Source organism: Homo sapiens, chromosome 8 (genome assembly GCF_000001405.40).
Source record: "Homo sapiens chromosome 8, GRCh38.p14 Primary Assembly".
NCBI classification, from domain to species: domain Eukaryota; kingdom Metazoa; phylum Chordata; class Mammalia; order Primates; family Hominidae; genus Homo; species Homo sapiens.
In genome coordinates this window covers 74,305,382-74,324,399 of record NC_000008.11, presented here as the reverse complement: position 1 = coordinate 74,324,399, position 19,018 = coordinate 74,305,382, and the positions used below count along the sequence as shown (strand labels likewise).

Genomic DNA, 19,018 nt, shown 5'->3' with positions numbered 1-19,018 from the left:
AAAATAGCTTACAATATGTTATAAAATTTTTTAGAATGGAAATATATAATAACTAGGTTTTTAACATGGAGGAAAACAAACTATAGGGTAGTTGCTGGCCCCTGGATTTTCATGGCCTCCCCCGTTCCACCTGTCAAACCAACATTCACATTCTCTTCTTACTAATCCCTTCTTAAAGCTAAATTCAACTCCCCCTTATCCAGGGCAAAGGTTCAGAGGGAGAGGGAAAATAAGGACATTACTAACCCTGACTATTAAACTGCAACATTATTCCACTGTCTACTATCTGCTATGCCATCACTCTCAGCATCTCTTCCTCTTCCTAGTATTCTCTCCCCGTCTTCTCCAACCGTTACCATTGACCCTGAACACTTACACTAACACATATGTCTTCGTGACTGGGTAAACATTCCATTGTGATGGCAGCTGGTAAATGGAAGCATGGTTTATATGGTTATTTGCCAAAAATTGTTTAGTAATTTACCAAAAATACCAACTTTCTTTCATAAAGAAAGTCAACATCAGAGCTAGGCTAGGATTAAGATTAGTTAAAATTTAATCATACATACCTAGTGGTAAAGTCTCACTTTTAATTAAGGTTCTTTGCAAGGCATCTATTAGGGATAGCCACAGGAAAAGAGTAAGCAATAAATGGCCATGTCTTTTTTCCTCCCCAAATCTTCATATTCAATCCAGATGTGTGTGCACCTCCCACCACAAATAGACTAGATATCCATTACAGAAGCCAGAAACTTGGTTTGTGCTCTGTGTTCCAGAAAATCCCTCATTTGCATGACAACTAATTAGGAAGAGTAATAAATAAAGAGATAAAGGTTTCCAAAATTTATCCCCTTAAAGAACATATATGGGTCCTAACACACTGGGTGGATCCAAAAAAAAAAAAAAGGCAAAGGGACAAAGACTACTCTATGAGGAAGTCTAGTTTAGAAAGAGACTCCCCCATTCAAAATATTGGCTTGAGCAACCACACTTTTTCTCATATCATACAGAACCTCAAAATATATGGGAATGCATCTTTCTACATTAGCTCCTGATTCTGGTGTATCCCATAACAGGGAAATGGAATTATGGCTCAGCCGCAAAGCCCTGGCCCTCATCTTCCCAGCGGCCTAAATCAATCCCCAGTCCAGGACAAGATGCTTCGAGAGATGCATAATTATTTCAGGCCACTAGGGTAAGCACTATTCCTGGCAACTCTGCGGGCAGTGCCATGGATGAGGGCTTCTAATTCTCTTTGGTGATTTGGTTCTGCATAAACTGAGATTTTTCTTTCAGTCTTTCAGCCAGATAAGTAGGAAAGGTCGGCTCTCGTCCTGAGAGAGAGGCAATCAAGGTCAATTTCAGTTCCTTTTCTGTGCAGTTTAGTCTACTTTTTCCCAGGCTGTCTTCCTGACACCTGTCCTTATATCTATATCTGATTATCAAATACTTAGTGAGAGAACCTTTGGCAGCTTCTGATGCTCGCATAGTCACCCAAAGGCCTCTCAGCCTAAGAAATAGCAGGAATACACTCCAAATCAGTTTCCTTGAGAGGCCAAACTAAGACCCTAGGCTGTGAAAGTGGGAGAAGTTTCTCCCGTGGGTATTTTGAGGGTGAGGTGGAGAATAATGCTTTCTCTCACCAGAGGCAATGCTGATCCAACTTGCCTATTACCAAATCTCTAATTTTTGGTTTGGCACTGCAGCCACAATATACTCAGTTATTACCGAATATAGAAAGAGAAAGGCAAATCTTGTTAGTCCCATTCAGAAGATGGTGAAATGGAGGTTTAAAAGTTTAGAAGAGTTGCCTAAAGTGAATTCGACAAAGCAGTGTTGTAGCTAGAAAGTAGACCAGCTGACATCTGTCCCTGGTTTTGTAGGTCACAGTTTCTTTGCAAGTTTAGAGCAGTGCTTTACTTACCATATTCCTCCTTGCAAACCTCTATTTACTTTCTTAAACAGTGGATACCAGTGGAGAGGTGTGCATTCCAGACACTTATACAATGTACACAGACCGAGCCGTCTACCTGTTGGGCACACAGCTCCAGGCTCAAGAATCTCTAAGGCTGTTAAGAAGCACAAACGAGGCACGAGAGGGGGCAGGCTCTAATGTAAAAGGAATATCCTGTACCACTGCAAAGGCCGATTGAAAACATCCTCTTCATCACTATTAATAAAAAACTAACCAATATATTCTGTGCTTTTTCAAACTGTACTGCTCACCCTCAGTGTCTTCATTAAATAAATGCAAACACGTGTGCTTTGAAACGGGTAGGTGTAAAAGAACACTCTGCACAATTATATCTAGGCTGCCGCAGATTTACATCACATGCATACATATATCTAGGCGATATTAATTCACGATGACAGCTGAGCATGACAAATGCAACAGTACACAAGTTGGAATGCGAAAACAATGCAACTACAAACCCCATGCAGACAAACACGCATACAATGAGTTTTCCCTCAACACACACGTGGCCGCACTCACAGGAGCTTAACCACTTTGAAAAACCCCAAACACAAACACCGGGGGCTCCGGCGCCCGCGAGCGGCCCCCACACAGGCAGCCGCGCCTTCATCTCCAGGCAGGGATTCTCGTGCGTCCCCGGGTACACTCGCCCTCCCACCGGCATCCCACTGCGCGAACACATGCGCGCCAGCCGGTCCCCGCGCGCGCCCGCCTGCCGAGGAAGCGGCGGCTCCCGGGGCTGGGGGCAGGGCCCGGTGGGGCGGGAGCGCCGCGGGGCCGGGCCTCGGCGCCCGGGGAGGGGACGAGGGGCGGGCGCGGGGCGGTGCCCGGCTCACGTGGGCGGGCGGGAGCAGCTGAAGGTCCGCTCGGGAACCTGGGCTGTCCTCTCGCGCGCGGCGCTGGCCCAGGCGGCGGCGGCGAAGGAGGAGGAGGAGGAGGAGGAAGGCGGCGGTGGCGGCGGCAAAAGAGGAGGGAGGACGGGGGCGGCGTCGGACTGGAGCCGAGCGGCAGCGCGAGCTGCCCAGGGCGCTGTCGTGAGCTCGCCCGCCGGGCCCCCACCCCCGAGCTACACCCTGCCGTGCCCAGCACTGCCCGCGTCCGTGCCCCTGCGGGGAGCGCGCCGGGGCTGCCCCCCGAATGACGGGCGGAAGGTTCGACTTCGACGATGGCGGCACCTACTGCGGCGGCTGGGAGGAGGGCAAGGCGCACGGGCATGGCATCTGCACGGGGCCCAAGGGCCAGGGCGAGTACTCGGGCTCCTGGTCGCACGGCTTCGAGGTGGTCGGAGGCTACACCTGGCCCAGCGGCAACACCTACCAGGGCTACTGGGCGCAGGGCAAGCGGCACGGGCTGGGGGTGGAGACGAAGGGCAAGTGGATGTACCGGGGGGAGTGGTCACATGGTTTCAAGGGGCGCTACGGGGTCCGGCAGAGCCTGTGCACCCCCGCTCGCTACGAGGGTACCTGGAGTAACGGGCTGCAAGACGGGTACGGCGTGGAGACCTACGGGGACGGAGGTGAGCGGCGTAACGGGCGGCTCGGCTGCTCCGCGAGCTGGTGCGGTGGGCTCTGCCCCGGCTGCGGGGAAGCGGGGAGGACGCCGGGCGCACGTGTCCGGAAACCCGCCAAAACACCTGGGGGCGCCTCCCACCCCCGCGCCCGCGCCCGCCTTTCCCAGAGAGGGCGCTGGGACCGGACTGGGGCGCGAGGGCTGGATCTGACCCCGTTCTTGGAGCGGGCCGTGTATCCACACTCAGGGGAGCTAGGCGTGAATGTACCTGGCCGGCGCCAGCGCTGCGCTGCCACCGGGAGGGAGCGCCGCCCGGGAGGGTTGGGCTGGAGAGAGGACGCTGTCACTTGAGCCCGTCACATTACGTTCCTGATCCCTCCCTCTCCCGGCCGGGTTTGAAATCGCCACTCCCGTGGAGTTAGAGCGAACACCCTGAGCGGGTGAGGTTGGCGGTCCGTGCTGACCGCTCCCGGGATTGGTTTCACGTGGAGTCGTATTTCGCTTCTGGTCCTCCAGTAGCCTAAAGATAGAAGCCAGAACCCCGTAACTAGGATGTTGGGGAATTGTACCTTATTTGGGGGTGCATTTGGAAACGTCCTAGTTATGGGAGCAGAAAGGCCACCTGATGCAGGTGGAGTTCAGAGTGTGTGAGTTCCTAGTTTTCATTCCGTTTCTTAAAGTATTGGTCTTAAAAGAGTAGCAGTCTTTGCTGACCTGGAGATCTTGGACAAATTACTAGGAAGATATTTTAGAAATGGGTAATGAAGTCTACATTTTAAAGAATACAATTAGCAGGTGTGTTCCTATAGCTGCTAAGTTAGCAGCTACTACTCCTGAGAATGGCAATACTGAAACAATAATTTGCATTATGTGTGACCTAAGCCAGTATTCCTGGCTGTGAACAAAGATCACCTTATTTTAATATTTAACAATATTTGCCAAAGAGATTGTGTATATACCAGGACAGAAGTTCCTCTTTTATTAGGAAAAGTATACATTATTGAAACAGGTGTCAAAACCTGATGAATTTCCTTGTGTAATACGCTGAGAAAGATATTCATGAATAGCTTATGCTTTAGCAAAGTGCATTTCCTGATAAACATAATCATATTTAGTTGAAAAGGGTTGTAGGAGGCGACATCACTTTTTGGAATTAAGCAGCTCAGAGTTGGAGGATATTAAAGGGATGCAATTAAAAGTTTCTCCAGCCCACTGCAACCCCATTTATACCATTGCTTATATAAAAGCTTACACAATTTGTACACTTCACTTAGTCAGAACACTTGGGCCGTGTTTCAAATGCAAAATGGCAGAATGGTAGAACTTGCTAAAAAGGACATCTTTTCATCCTACAGTATAAATTAAGCATATGGTTCTCATGGATTAAAAGAAAAAAACGTTCTCTAATAGTTTTATGTGGGGCTGAGTCCCGAGTTTCACAGTAGTTAATTGGGACCCTTAAATGTTCTGAATGGGCATAAAGTACCTGGTTGACAGCGCTGTAAATATGTCAGTTTGTGACTGGATTTTGTTGGAGGCCCCAGCTCTACTATATAACTAAATTCCATGCTCAAAAGTAGAAGGCAAAATTTATTGTTTTAAATGTGTGCATTATTTTATAATCTTTTAAGAAGGCCAGGGATGGTTCTCTTCAGTTTTGGAAGGTTAAAAATCGTCTCCTTTTAAAGATACTATTCATTAAACACACTCTCTTGGTTTAGAGTATTCATTATACCTAGTAATCAAAATATATATAGCACAGTAGAGGCTGTCTGTGTACATGTCGTAGAAACCCAAATAAGTCTCCAGAATGATTTTATGAATAATCTGCCTTCAGTTTTAAAATAAACTTAAAAAAAAACTTAAAACTTGGCATCATCCTGGGTGGTACTGTGGTTTTCTTCTTCTACCAAAAAAAAAAATCTAATATGCTACAGTTAGGAAGAAAAACCTTAAAAATCACTACTGAATGTCTACTCTATGCTAATAGATTTTCTACTGTCTCATATGTAACTATTTCATTAGAAAGTTCTCAATCATAAAAAGGGAGTCTAAAGCAAGTTTATTGCTGTAACTTATTTCATACAAAGGTTTTGGCCAAAATAGGAATATCACTAAAAAATTAGCTTGTTTTCTGCTGTTCTCACTAAGGAGTTAGCTTGTTTTTGTTTGCACTCTCCCCATCGCCACATGTCCATCCCTGTACACCCTGTATCAGATTCAGGGAAAATCTGATTCCGAGTTTTTTTGTGGTGACATTAAACTGGAGGAGGAAGGAAGCAGTAATTCCATGTGAGACGTATCACTTATTTTATTAGTGATTTGTGTATTACATGTTGCTGAAATAGAAACCCCCTGAATATTAACAATAAGTTAGTATCATACTCATGAAATCCAAGTCTAGGTGCCCAGAATTTTTTGTGCTAATTCTGATCTGTACTTTGTTTTTTCACTTGTCATAAAACTATTGAAAATATCTGGGAAAACACAACGTTTTGTTAACTAGATGCATACTTGCACATACCCATTCGGAGCATATAAACTGAAGTTTGGCATAGTGCAGTGCAAATTTGACTGAAACTCCTAAACTGGATGCCTTCCACTACAAGATTGTGTAGTTAAAATGACTAAATCTAAAAAATTAGCTCCCAAATGAACACAGTTTAAAACTGGTAAAAGTAATTTTTATACTTGTGAAATATGCATCTACATTTTAGGAATCAAGAGGAACTAATTAGAACTTTATTTGAGCAGCAGGGAGAAGTTGGAACCCACCTGCTTCATAAAGAAATAGGCCCTTTCTTATTCTAGGTTCATTGACTAAACTAAACCTATTTTAAATTTCAGATGAACTGCTAACAGTTTGACTGCAAATTGGTTTCTAGCAATTCTGTGGAGGAATTCTTTCATATACTGTGATTTAACAAAATAGGAGAGGAATGTGGCCAATGCTCTTGTCCCCCCCTTCCCTATTTGACAGTTAAGCAGAGACTTAAACTTTCTAATTATTGCTGTTGCCTTAAACAGCTTGGATTTTCAAGCCATACTTTTTTGGAAATTCTAAATACTGTACTAGTCTTATTTTTGGAGATAACAGTTTAAAGAAACTAGCTGTTAATTTTCCATCAGTGTTAAACATTTACCAAGATGGTATGGCTGTGTTTTAAAAGTGCAGATACTTATTGATATCAAACAGCATCTCTGCAAATTGTTCTAGCAAAATTAACTTGTCACTATAGACAAAAGTTAGGAGGATGTGATTATAGCATTCTTTTAACCAACAAAATATTAAAAATAAGGTGGTTTATTTTAGTATCTTCAAGCCAGATTGTGAAACTTTCATCCTAGAATTTAAATTTTACCTGTATAGGCAAAGGAAAAGTCAAAGTCAAAATTTCCTAATAATTCCATTCCCATTCCTGTTAAGATGGCGGTATTTGGAGATGGCCAGTATTCAATAGGAAGCTTCTTAGCCTGAAATGTTTTACATGACTATCTTATCCTCTTGAGTTAATCTTTCAGAGAAAACTGTGGGCCACCCACCTCCTCAGAAGTTCATAGATGTCAAGTTAAGACTTCACATCTACCCAGAATATGACATTTACAGTACCAGACCCACTTAGTATTTCATTGTATATCTACTATTGCCTGTGTCACATATGCCAGAATGAACAAAAAGAGAAGGTAGTCTTGAAATTGGTCAAAACCGTTGACTTGGGAGTCATTATGGTTTTAACTTTTAAGTGCAATGAAATAACCAGCCATTGTTAACACAGTTATATAAAACCACTAGCATTTTTGCCCGGTGTTTTGAAAATGAATATGTGCCATGCAATGGAAATCTGTGCATGGAAATATAAAATGCAAAGTGACTGCAGGGTAGATCTATATAATCAGAAATGGAAAGAGGTCAAGACAGACTAATCATTATTTGTTTTCTATGACATTGTGAATTGTTATGAATAACACAGAAGTAATTACATTTTAAATTTTCCAGATAGCTTCTTTTGAGGGATACTGTAAATTAAAATTTACCCTTAATTAAAGGAAATTGATTTTGAAAAGAAACTTCTAAATTCCCTAATTTAACATTCATTTCCTCCTAAGATTATTTTAAAACCTGTACCAGGTTATTTTTTAATGTCTTTGCTTATTTATTTAGTAGCAAAAAATTCACTACAAATGCTCTAGATGACAGACTATCATGAAAAAGCATAATATTTGTTGACAGAGTCATCTGGTATCAACATTTTAATAGATAGTGTCAAATATACCTTTCCTCTGAGATGAAGTCCAAAATGGTAACAGTAGAAGATTTCATCTGGCCTTACATCAGTTTCTCCAAGAGTAAAGGGTATACTTTTTAGCCACCATAGCTTTTTACCGTCAACATAGTCATCAAACACCCTCCATCCACAAACACAGACCAGAGGACACATGAGAATTTTGTGTTCTCATACGAAGTAATTCCTGCCCTCAGGGTGCTTCTAGTCTGTGGTGTGATTCACAATGCAGTGGCAGCTAGGGAAATCCATAGAGGATGCAGAGATTTGGCAAATGATACGGCACAAAGCTTTGGCCTTTTCACTTAGAAGCACAAAAATGTTAAATTACTCATTTTTTTCATAATTCACTGTATTCATAATATATATTGTGGTTGTCGATTCTCTCTTAGCTCAAAAAGGTTCACCCAAATTCAAATGATAATCCTGAATATTCAACAGTTTTGTCTACACTAAAAAAAGAGATGCTGAATGTAGCAGAAAATTTAAGACGTTCATTTGATGACTGTGTCCCAAGTATTCCGATTTAAGCCTGTATACTTCTTGGAATGTTATACTGACATAGACCTAAAAGTCATTTTTTACAGTTTTCCAGCTAAATTAGTAATATTAGAATAAAATTTACACATAGAATTCATTTCATCTTCTACTGTTTCCTTGTCTTCTTCCCAAGAGGAATTTTTGATGCATTAATTTCAGAGGAGAATGTTGTTTCCCAGTGTTCACTTTTTGTATTAGAAAGTAGTGGTTTTCCTCTGAAATACTTGCATAAAATTTTAATGAAAAGCAAAAATTATCTGACTACTAGAAAATTCTGTGCAATGACATTAAAGCCTTACACCCAAAATTACAGGGCGGGGATTCACAAGTGGATGCAAAGTATCCCCCAGGGTTGACTTGGAAATGGGTCAGATTTGACCTTGGGCAGGCCTGCGCCAGTGTGCGCTGGATGGTGCAGGTGACGGTGCAGCTCTGCCCCCGACTCACGGTGCTTTCTTGCGGTCTCTCCAAGGTACCTACCAGGGCCAGTGGGCCGGAGGCATGCGGCATGGCTACGGCGTGCGCCAGAGCGTGCCCTACGGCATGGCCACGGTGATCCGCTCACCGCTGCGTACCTCGCTGGCCTCGCTGCGCAGCGAGCAGAGCAATGGCAGCGTGCTCCACGACGCCGCAGCCGCCGCCGACAGCCCGGCCGGCACCCGCGGCGGTTTCGTGCTCAACTTCCACGCAGACGCTGAGCTAGCGGGCAAGAAGAAGGGCGGCCTCTTCCGGAGGGGCTCCCTTCTTGGAAGCATGAAACTTCGCAAGTCCGAATCCAAGTCTTCCATCTCGAGCAAGCGCAGCTCTGTCCGCAGCGACGCGGCCATGAGCAGAATTAGTTCCAGCGATGCCAACTCCACGATCAGCTTTGGCGATGTAGATTGTGATTTTTGCCCGGTGGAAGACCACGTGGACGCCACCACCACGGAAACCTACATGGGCGAGTGGAAGAACGACAAGCGCAACGGCTTCGGCGTTAGCGAGCGCTCCAATGGCATGAAGTATGAAGGGGAGTGGGCAAATAACAAGAGGCATGGATATGGCTGTACCGTGTTTCCTGACGGCTCCAAAGAAGAGGGAAAATACAAAAATAATATTCTGGTCCGTGGGATAAGGAAGCAGCTTATACCAATAAGACATACAAAAACTAGGGAGAAGGTGGACAGAGCAATTGAAGGCGCCCAAAGGGCAGCTGCCATGGCCAGAACCAAAGTGGAAATAGCAAATTCAAGGTAAGTAAATGCAGGGTGGTTGGTTTTGCTGGGTTGGTCAGAACAATGGAGTATCAAATATTATGTTTGTCTATCTGCCAGTGACATCGCTAAATGCTTTCTACAACTACTAAAAAATCAAAGGTGAAAAATGATTACACTCAGTAGAATCAAAGTCAGAAATGTACCTGCACTGTTCTGAAACTTCCCATCATCAAAAAATGTCGAAGGCACTTTGAGCTCCCCTTCCTGTTCTAAATTACTTCCCTCATATTTAACAGCGTGAGGGAGTTCACTGAGACCCTGTGCTCATCTTCCTGAGCCCGGAAAGTTGCTGTTTTCTTTTCTTTTTTTTGTAAGAAGGACCTCTGAAATGCTGCCATAGCAAGCATTGTGTTTTGTGTACCAAAAGAAAATAGCAATCCACGTAGAAACATACTTAGTATAGATGTGTACCTTTATTCTGATATTTACATCGGAGGTATGTACACTTAGCCTAGCTTATACAATTCAGATTCTGTTTATGAAGTCTTATAGGTAAAATTGGTTTTGAGACAGCCACCAAAATCTACATATGGCAAAAGTGGAAAATAACATGACAAAATCTGGCATGCATTGTTAAAAACAACAGCTACATGGGAAAGGCAAAGAGACCTACAAGAATCGCCACATTCTATGCAGAAGAGATTAGGTCACTGGTGTATTAAAAGGAAAGGGGTGGAGGGAACCTGACAACCTGACATGGACAGATGGGACTCTCAATGTGCCAAGGTTGGAAGAAAGAAGAGCAGTAGAGAAGGGCTGGAGTGAGTAGGAGAAAACCGGTGAATAATAGATTGACAAGTGGGGTGTATGTGTGGGCACAGAAGGACTACGTGCTTGAAGTTTTACCATTAATAGCTGGTTTCAGGGATCCAGCAAGAGGGATGGAAAAATCTATTGGGAATAAAGTTCTATTAGGGAAGGATATCATAGGTGAGACAAAAAGAAAAAGGTGTGGTAATAAATGGAAAATTTTATTTTTAGTCTTATTTAAGTGAGTACTGACTAGCCACAGCTTTGTAAGACTTGAAGCATAAATGTAGCATAGAATATTAAAAATCCTGTTTCTGCTTCAATAACACTCTTCCACAGAAGTAAACGCCCTTTTGAAACCACAAAATGTTAGCATGTCTTCAGGTTTTTGTTATTGGCATTGAATTAATGAACCTCCCTTTTTTTTGATGGAGCCATATGAAATTTCCAATGTTCAAATTTTTTAATGTACAAAAAAAAATGGTGACATCATATGGTTCAACTTAGTACTTCTAGAGTTCTTTTTTTTTTAATTCCTCTACTTAAAAAATAAGTAGGGCTACCACTAAATAAGGTTGCATATTTTGCATTACTTTTAGATATATATTATATTATATATTAAAAGTCTTCAAGGTTTTCATCTTTATCCCAAACTAATTTCATTTCAAAGCTATTATTTTTTGTTGATCAGCACAAACTTTAATGAAGGGTCTCTCTCTCTCCTGTCTTCTCTACCAGGCATCTTTTACTTCAGATCACAGTTTTGGATCTACTTTGCTTTTCAGTTTGCTTATAGATCAGATACTCAGCACATCTAATCTTGCTGGCTTACTTTTAGACCTAGTGATAAACATTTGTTAGGCCTTGACCTCTAATTTTAAATGCACACTTGGATTCTTCCATGTTTTCTTGTTACAACTTAGTGACATGCTAAAGTCAGCTCAGTCTTGGGAGGTGAAAAATGAACCTGTGCAGAACACTTTAACAAACGACTTATCATTAGTTTCCATTGGAGGAGTTTGTATAACAGAAAGCGACTGGCAATGCAGAGATGATCTCTGATTATGCTAGTATCATAAAACCCTCACCCAAGTCCTAGCCATGTTCTCTCTGTTGCAAGTCTTTTGGGGGTAGTATTATTTCATTTGGGAATACTGTATTATATAGTTATAATCAAGAGATCTTTAGTTTAAGACCTTATACTTTTAGCCAGTTAGTTACTTCATAGTTACTTAGCTATGTTTAAAATGCTTAATTCATTATGCAAATGAAAGAAGTCAGTCACAGAAAAACAAATACTGCATGATCTCACTTAATCAAATACTGCAATGACCTGACTTGATCTAAAATGGTCAAACTCATAGAAACATAGAGTAAAATGGTGGTCGCCAGGGACTGTAGGGTGGGGAAAATGGAGGGTTGCTGTTCAACAGATACGAAGTTTCAGTTACTCAAGATGAATACATTCTATAGATCTGCACTACAACACTGTGCCTATAGTTAACAATACTGCATTTTGCATTTAAGAATTTGTCAAGGTCAGGTGCTATGGTACATGCCTGTAATACTAGCACTTTGGTATGCTGAGGCAGAAGGATCTCTTGAGCCCAGGAGTTCAAGACCAATCTCTGCAACATAGTGAGACCCCCGTCTCTGCAAAAAATAAGAAAATTAGCCGGACACGGTGGCGCACACCTGTCCTAGTTACTTGGGAGACTGAGGTGAGAGGATGGCTTGAGCCCCAGAGGTCGAGACTGTAGTGAGCTGTGATTGTGCCACTGCACTCCAGCTTGAGTGTCACAGCAAGACCCTGTCTCAAAAAAAACAAAAAAAGAATTTGTTAAGAAGGTAGGTCTCATGTTAAGTGTTCTTACAACAATAAATAAAATACTGTTCGGATGACACAATCAACAAATTAAAAATAAATATATTCAATTAACCTTCTATATTTTACTTACCTTCACTGTTTTAGTCCTTTTCCCAGATTCCTTGCTATTATATAATGAATACTTCCGATTACAGCTTTGTAACTTGTTTTTGGAGGAAGCAGTTAAAGGAATGACATTCCCCTTATAATAGCTCTGATTTTAGAGTTCTACAGTCTTTTAAAACCCTTAAAAATTATTCACAATAGCAAAGACTTGGAACCAACCCAAATGCCCAACAATGATAGACTGGATTAAGAAAATGTGGCACATATACACCATGGAATACTATGCAGCCATAAAAAATGATGAGTTCATGTCCTTTGTAGGGACATGGATGAAATTGGAACTCATCATTCTCAGTAAACTTTCCCAAGGACAAAAAACCAAACACCACATGTTCTCACTAATAGATGGGAATTGAACAATGAGAACACATGGACACAGGAAAGGGAACATCACACTCTGGGGACTGTTGTGGGGTGGGGGGAGGGGAGGGATAGCATTGGGAGATATACCTAATGCTGGATGATGGGTTGATGGGTGCAGCACACCAGCATGGCACATGTATATGTATGTAACTAACCTGCACATTGTGTACATATACCCTAAAACTTAAAGTATAATAATAATAAAATAAAAAATTTTAAAAAGCCTTAAAAATAAGAAAAGATTCTTTTAAGATTTGCTGCCTGGGAGATAGGACTTTTAGCTACATTATTGTCATTAACCATGGCTCTTTCTAATGCCAGAATATCTACACAATATCTGTACAGAACATCTATCTGACCCCTCTATGGTTGCTGTTATCAATGTTTTTGTTTGTAAAACTACTGAAAATTTAAGAACATAAGATGACACTCTTCCCACCTAGCCCAGTGCAGACAGAAGAAAAACTAGAAACTAAGTCTCTTGGTAGCTGCTGCTGTTGAAGTCACTAGTTCATCATTAGCAACAAAAGGAGATGATCAATGAATAGTTATCAACTATTCAGTTTGTCCACCCAGGTAGTGTAAATCACTATTCTCAGCAACATAGTGAGACCCTGTCTCTACAAAAAATGAGAAAATTAGCCGGGTGTGGTGGCATACGCCTGTAGTCCCAGCTACTCAGGAGACTGAGGTGGAAGGATGGCTTGGTAGAGAAGACTGAAGGCCCCCAATTTCAGATCTGGAAAGGCCAAGAGAGCGCATCTCGTCCAAGCCCCTCACATTCAGAGGCAGGGACTGAGGCTCTACCCAAGATCACAACACTGTCCCTGTAATGTTTTCATTCCATTTGTGTTATTTCTTATGCTTTAGAGACTTTTATTTGTTATTTAAGTCCCTGGGAAATGGACGCACCCTTGTACCATCATCCTATTTTATCTTGAAGCAAAGGTTCAAGTTGGCTCTAAGGGAAAACAATTATATTCTCCAATAATGTCTCCAGGAGACACAGAACAAACTGTCTTTGGCCCAAAGATTCATGAAAGTATGGTGGATCTGTGGACCTTTGCTTTGCTTCTCTGAAGAGGGAGTTGTGTTGCTCCCCAGTAAACACATACAGGAGGCTTGTTTCAGAAGGCTTATTATGGGCCCCTGTATAATTCCGACAGATCAAGGACTATGGGGATGACATAACAGTAGATAGTAGATATCACATCGTAGATATAGAGTTAATAGATTCTAGCAGGTTAACACTTAGCGTCAAGACCATAAGGGATACTTATAATTTGCTGACTCCTGGAACTTATTTTTAGGCCTCTGCTCTGCTCCAAAAGGTACTGTGTTTATAAGATTTACAAAATTTTATTTCCCTTTTGTCTTGGTCCTGAGGGTACAAATCACCATCTGGGATTGAGAAAGGGTCTCAACCTTTTTTTTTTTTTTTTAAGAAATGTTCAAAAGGTGGAAGAGCAACTCTAAATATCTCAAGAAATGAGTGTACCTAGAAGCTACTGAGACTGCTCCATGCTAGTAGCTGACATACCACCTCTAGTTCTGGATCCCAACTGCTCTGCTCTTAGATGAAGATGCTACTCTGAGACATAGCTACTAGAACTGAGGAGAGTGGAGCCAGTACCTAAGCCCAGGCTCCATGGTCTTTCCTTTGTCAGTGTGTACCCTTGATGGTAACTTGGCCAACCAGAACCTTTTGAGTCACTGGAGTGCTGTTTTAGAGCCCTAAACTATAACTAGAGCCTTATAACTTAGAATTGGATCCCCCAATATGCTGAATTTACTTTCTAGAAAATATAATAAGCAGAATCTGTTTTGGTAGAGGAGACAGAAAGTCCCCAATTTCAGATCTGGAATGGGCAAGAGAGAATATCTGGTCCAAGCCCCCCACATTCAGTGGCAGGGACTGAGGCTCTGCCCAAGATCATCCCACCATTCCTGTTGTTTGCATTCTATTTCTTAGGCATTCAGTTTTCATTCCCTTAGCTTTTGCCTCCTTAATTCCTTCAGCTGTTCCTGTCATTTTAACTATATTTCTCATTTCGTCAATTTTTACTCCATCGACTCTTGTCTCCAATAATTCCTTAAATGAGGTGTTCAAAGATGTCACTACTCCTTGAGAAAAATATTTAAAGAAAGAATCTTAAGGCATTTGGTTGAGAAAGCAAATAAGAAGTGACCCTTAGAAAGCCCCACTTCTGTGGAAATGAACAGATCACTTAGGAAGAGGTGTGGACAGAAGCAGAGCTTGGTGTGATCTGAATATTAGAAGAAATAATTATCTTGCAAGAAGATAGAAGATGTAGGAGGGGTGGGAGAGAGCTGGCCTCACGCGACTGAGAACCACAAGCCTTTGCTTGTATTGACTTTGTTATATCAGGCAGATAAGAAGAAATACTATAAAGTGAGGAGGTTAGCAAGTTAGTAGGTAACTTCCATTTTGTAGACTCTGGCTAACTGACCAGCCTCACTTAAGCTAGTGAAGCTCATTGGTACACAGCTGGGCAGGCTCCCCGTACTACCAGGAAGTGTCAGTGATGGGGATAGGTGGCCAGTCGCATGGGACTATGCTGCTCCTTTTGCCAACCTCTCCCTGACCATTACTGGCACTTCAGGTGATGATCAGGGCACCTAGACATGTAATCTTAGGAGGGAGTCTCTTCTGCACCCTGTTCAGCTCGGAACTAAGGTTGGATGCCATGTTTGCCAATTTTGGACTTAAATATAAAAACGATACATACTTTTCCTGTAGGATTTTAAAAAACCATTCCTCATACTTTTGTATAAAAAAGGATATATTGCATTTTCATGCAGATCTCCCCTCCTCCCCCATACTCAGAGTGGTTCAACCATGCCAGCTTGCTTTCTGTTGGAAAGAAGCTCTCAGCCCCTGTCCCTGCTCCCTCTGGCTGGCTCCTCAGGCTGCTGGGTCCTCACTCTGCTTTAAGCCTAGGTTCCTTCATAGTGGAAGTTTTCCTCAACCCCGCTTCTCTTAGCCCACTTCTAGTCTAAAATCTCCCCATTAGTCTAAATTGATATTTAATTTCACAATATTTGTTGAATATCCCTCACCCCAACTAGATTGGGAAGGATGGGCTGACTCTGAAGTCAGCTTTGCTCACTTTTGTACACCCAGCAGTGAGCTTAGATCAAGGCACATTAGTAAGTGCTCTAGTAAATATTTGGTGAATGAATTAATTAAATTCTCACAACTTAGGGAATTACCACTGCCAGTGCTCCTAATTTTGTTTTGCTGGGCAAAACCACATTTTAAAGATGGAAACTTAGCTCTCATAATTCATGCTATAATCTAACAATAGTCAAGGAGTGCAGAAAATGTCAAAGTGTGTGCTACGGGTAACTTTTTCCTTAATTAGGTCAACATTGTTACAGGACATAACCAGGGAACAAGAGCATCAGGTTGAGCCAAACTGTTATTTCCATTCTTCATAAGTATTGAGCTGGTCAGTGATACATGTAAGAGATTCCCTTCCAGATGTGGAAACTCCAGGAAGTCAGCTTATCCTAACTGTGATAACATTGGCTTAGCTTTTGTATTTGACAGCACCAAAACATGTGAGATACCAGAATGTGGGAGCTTATTATTAATTTTTTTGGAAAGTTTTTCTTGTTTGGAGGTCATTTTACTTAGACTCAAAGAATATCATTTAATTTAACACATAAAGTTGGCTGGGATAGAACAGTTATTCACAAGATCACTTGACTTGATTCACATTTTACTCATAAGTAATTAAAACCCAAAGTCAACTATGAGTCAATGCACATTATGGATCCAAATTAAACTGACTATTACCAATATCAGAAAAAAAAGCCTATTCTCTGCTAAGTTATTATAAAGGGCCAGGACTTTGAAATTCTTAAATTATTCTCAACAAGGGGATCTTTTGCAAGTCAAAGCTGTTTATAAGCTATCGTTATGTCTGTACTGTAATGATAGTGGTTGTATTATATTTTTAAACAAAGTTTAGATCACCTTTTCTACAGATTTTTTTTTCTTCTGGTGCTCTGGTTAATTTTCAGTAATTAGCACAAGTGATTTTAACGGGAAGGGGAAATCCTTCTGATGCCTTCTGAGTCATTTTAATGAATAGATTGTTAAATAGTTAAAGAAATTTTAGGACAAAATCACCTAAAATGTGGGCATTTATTGCTAAGGAAAGCATTAGTTATTTTCTTTAGTTCTGCTACCTGTATTCTTCTATATCTGCACCTTGGCTGCCTGTCACTCTTTGCAACTGTTGTAACCAGTGCTTCTAGGGCAAATTCCAGACGCTTGGTTGAAATACCCAGACTCTGAGGTTCAGAAAAGTTATGGTGAACAGGGAGCAATTATTACCTTACCCTTCATAGCAGGGTTGTTTTGAGAATTGAATGGGAGAGTGGGTATCACGGGTCTTTGTAAACTATAAACCACACATAGCAGTTGTTATTTAGGAAAATGTTGCAATCCTAGAAGTACCATTTTCACAAGTGAAAGTTGATAGAAGACCAAGAAGACAAACTGGGATGTAGGTAAAGATGAAGTGAGGAAGGAAACAGGAAGGGAAGGAAGGATTGGGAAGCAGGAATGGGGATAACCAAAGGAAGAGAGTTAAATCTACAGAGCTTTACCACCTGTGTGCAGATGTGAGCATGTATCAAAACAGCCCATTTCCAGCACCAGATCTGTGTGAAGTTAGCAGGCAATTTTATTTTTTTAAGACTGAAAAGTGAGCAAGGAAATATCAAGTTATGCCCCAGGTACTATTCTGAAGATAACGTAGGATAATAAAGGTCTTACCTTTATATTAAGTATGTTAGTGTAGGCCGGGCGTGGTGGCTCACATCCCTAATCCCAGCACTTTGGGAGGCCGAGGCGGGCGGATCCCTTGAGGTCAGGAGTTCGAGACCAGCCTGGCCAACATGGTGAAACCCCATCTCTACTAAAATTACAAAAATTAGCCAGGCATCGTGGCGGGCACCTGTAATCCCAGCTACTCGGGAGGCTGAGGCAGGAATCGCTTGAACCTGGGAGGCAGAGGTTGCAGTGAGCAGAGATCATGCCATTGCACTCCAGCCTAAGCGACAGAGCGAGGTCTCCAAGAAAAAAAAAAAAAGTTAGTGTAGATCACCATCATCCTTTTATACGTTATCCTTTTGTTGTACTTTATACTTTATATTGTTATCCTCTGAACTTCAGAGTCTGGGTGTTTCAACCAAACTTCTGGAATTTGCTCCTAGAAGAATATATAGTTTTCAAATATGTTTCTCTTCTTTATCAAAGAATGTCCATTTCCCATGGGAGAAAGGGGGGGTGCCTAGTCTAACTTCGTCACATTTTTTCTGGGCTCTTTAAAGAAAGACATGATTGTCCATATCAAGGGGCCCAGGAGCAATCATTGAGAATTCTCTCTGTGTGCATGCACTGAGGGAACAGCTGAAACTGGAAAGATGACCTAGGTGCCAGCTCTGTCCTGCCCCTACCTCCAAGCGAGGGGTTAGGCTTGGATGTAATAGCACTGATAGGTGTGACTTGGTAGCACAGAGAAACTCCTCTGGCCAGCTCCTGGCCTTCAGCTCTGATGTCATATCACTCACCACGCAACGGGTCATTACGCATAACATGGGAACACTTTGTGTTATGACAGCCTTGTAAAACCTCCTTAGGATATCTCGTTTCTAAAGATCTTTCTTTAAAACAAAACAAAACAAAACAAAAAAAACTCTTTCTCCAGCCCTCCCAAGTCCGGGCCCATTCAGACACTCGGAGGCATTGAGATGGACATGTGTTTTCGTGACTAACAAGTAGGTTCAAGAGAATACAAATATAATGAAAATTAGTCTTAGGCCATAATAAATGGGAAGGTCACACAGTTCTCCAGACTTTCAAGCCATTAAAAAACATGGTTTTAAAAACTTGAATTGTGTAGGCATGGACTTCCATTTTGATTAAACAGGGAGGGCAAGGAGAAGAGACTGTATAGGGTATGAATGGGATATGAGACAACATTCAGTTCTGCAGAGATCTACTTAGTAAAAGCTGGCACTGAAGACTGGAAGGGAAAACTGAAATTCCAGGATGATGATAAGCCAGGTTGTGGGGACACATGTTGACCCTGTTTTAACTGTAGAAGCCTGAGCTTGCTTAAATAGTACAAACTTCAACAGATTCCAGCTCATTTAGCCCTGAAATATGACCCTTTCTCAATAGTACACATATGAAGAATTAAAGTAGCAGTTTCTAATGCATCATTTGTAATGAAAACCACCCTACTCCTATGTTTTCTGGAAAGCCCCCAAAATGGGATTGCATTCATATTTTATCCTGTATGCTTTGTAT

The 19,018-nt window shown here is 41.9% G+C and overlaps 1 protein-coding gene across 5 annotated transcripts in view, besides 2 other annotated features; it reads left to right on the top strand.

The window, feature by feature from the left end:
- Positions 2,710–2,809: a silencer, noted in NCBI's record as "silent region_19300". NCBI's record gives its function as "represses an Ori minimal core promoter by ATAC-STARR-seq in GM12878 lymphoblastoid cells {active_cell/tissue: GM12878}" and the evidence as "EXISTENCE:reporter gene assay evidence [ECO:0000049][PMID:35858748]".
- Positions 2,860–19,018, top strand: part of JPH1 (junctophilin 1) — an 86,841-nt gene continuing 70,682 nt past the window's right edge. For 3 of the 5 annotated variants that reach the window (NM_001317830.2, NM_020647.4, XM_047421996.1), the window contains exons 1-2: positions 2,860–3,491; positions 8,780–9,539. In NM_001317830.2, coding sequence (NP_001304759.1) covers positions 3,113–3,491; positions 8,780–9,539 — 1,139 coding nt within the window. In that variant the 5' untranslated portion in view covers positions 2,860–3,112. The remainder of the gene's footprint in view (positions 3,492–8,779; positions 9,540–19,018) is intronic. The other 2 variants (NM_001363050.1, NM_001363051.1) reach the window with 1 other exon arrangement.
- Positions 2,903–3,793: an enhancer, noted in NCBI's record as "H3K4me1 hESC enhancer chr8:75232842-75233732 (GRCh37/hg19 assembly coordinates)". NCBI's record gives its function as "activates a minimal SCP1, AML or CMV promoter by ChIP-STARR-seq in naive H9 embryonic stem cells {active_cell/tissue: H9 hESC(naive)}" and the evidence as "EXISTENCE:reporter gene assay evidence [ECO:0000049][PMID:30033119]".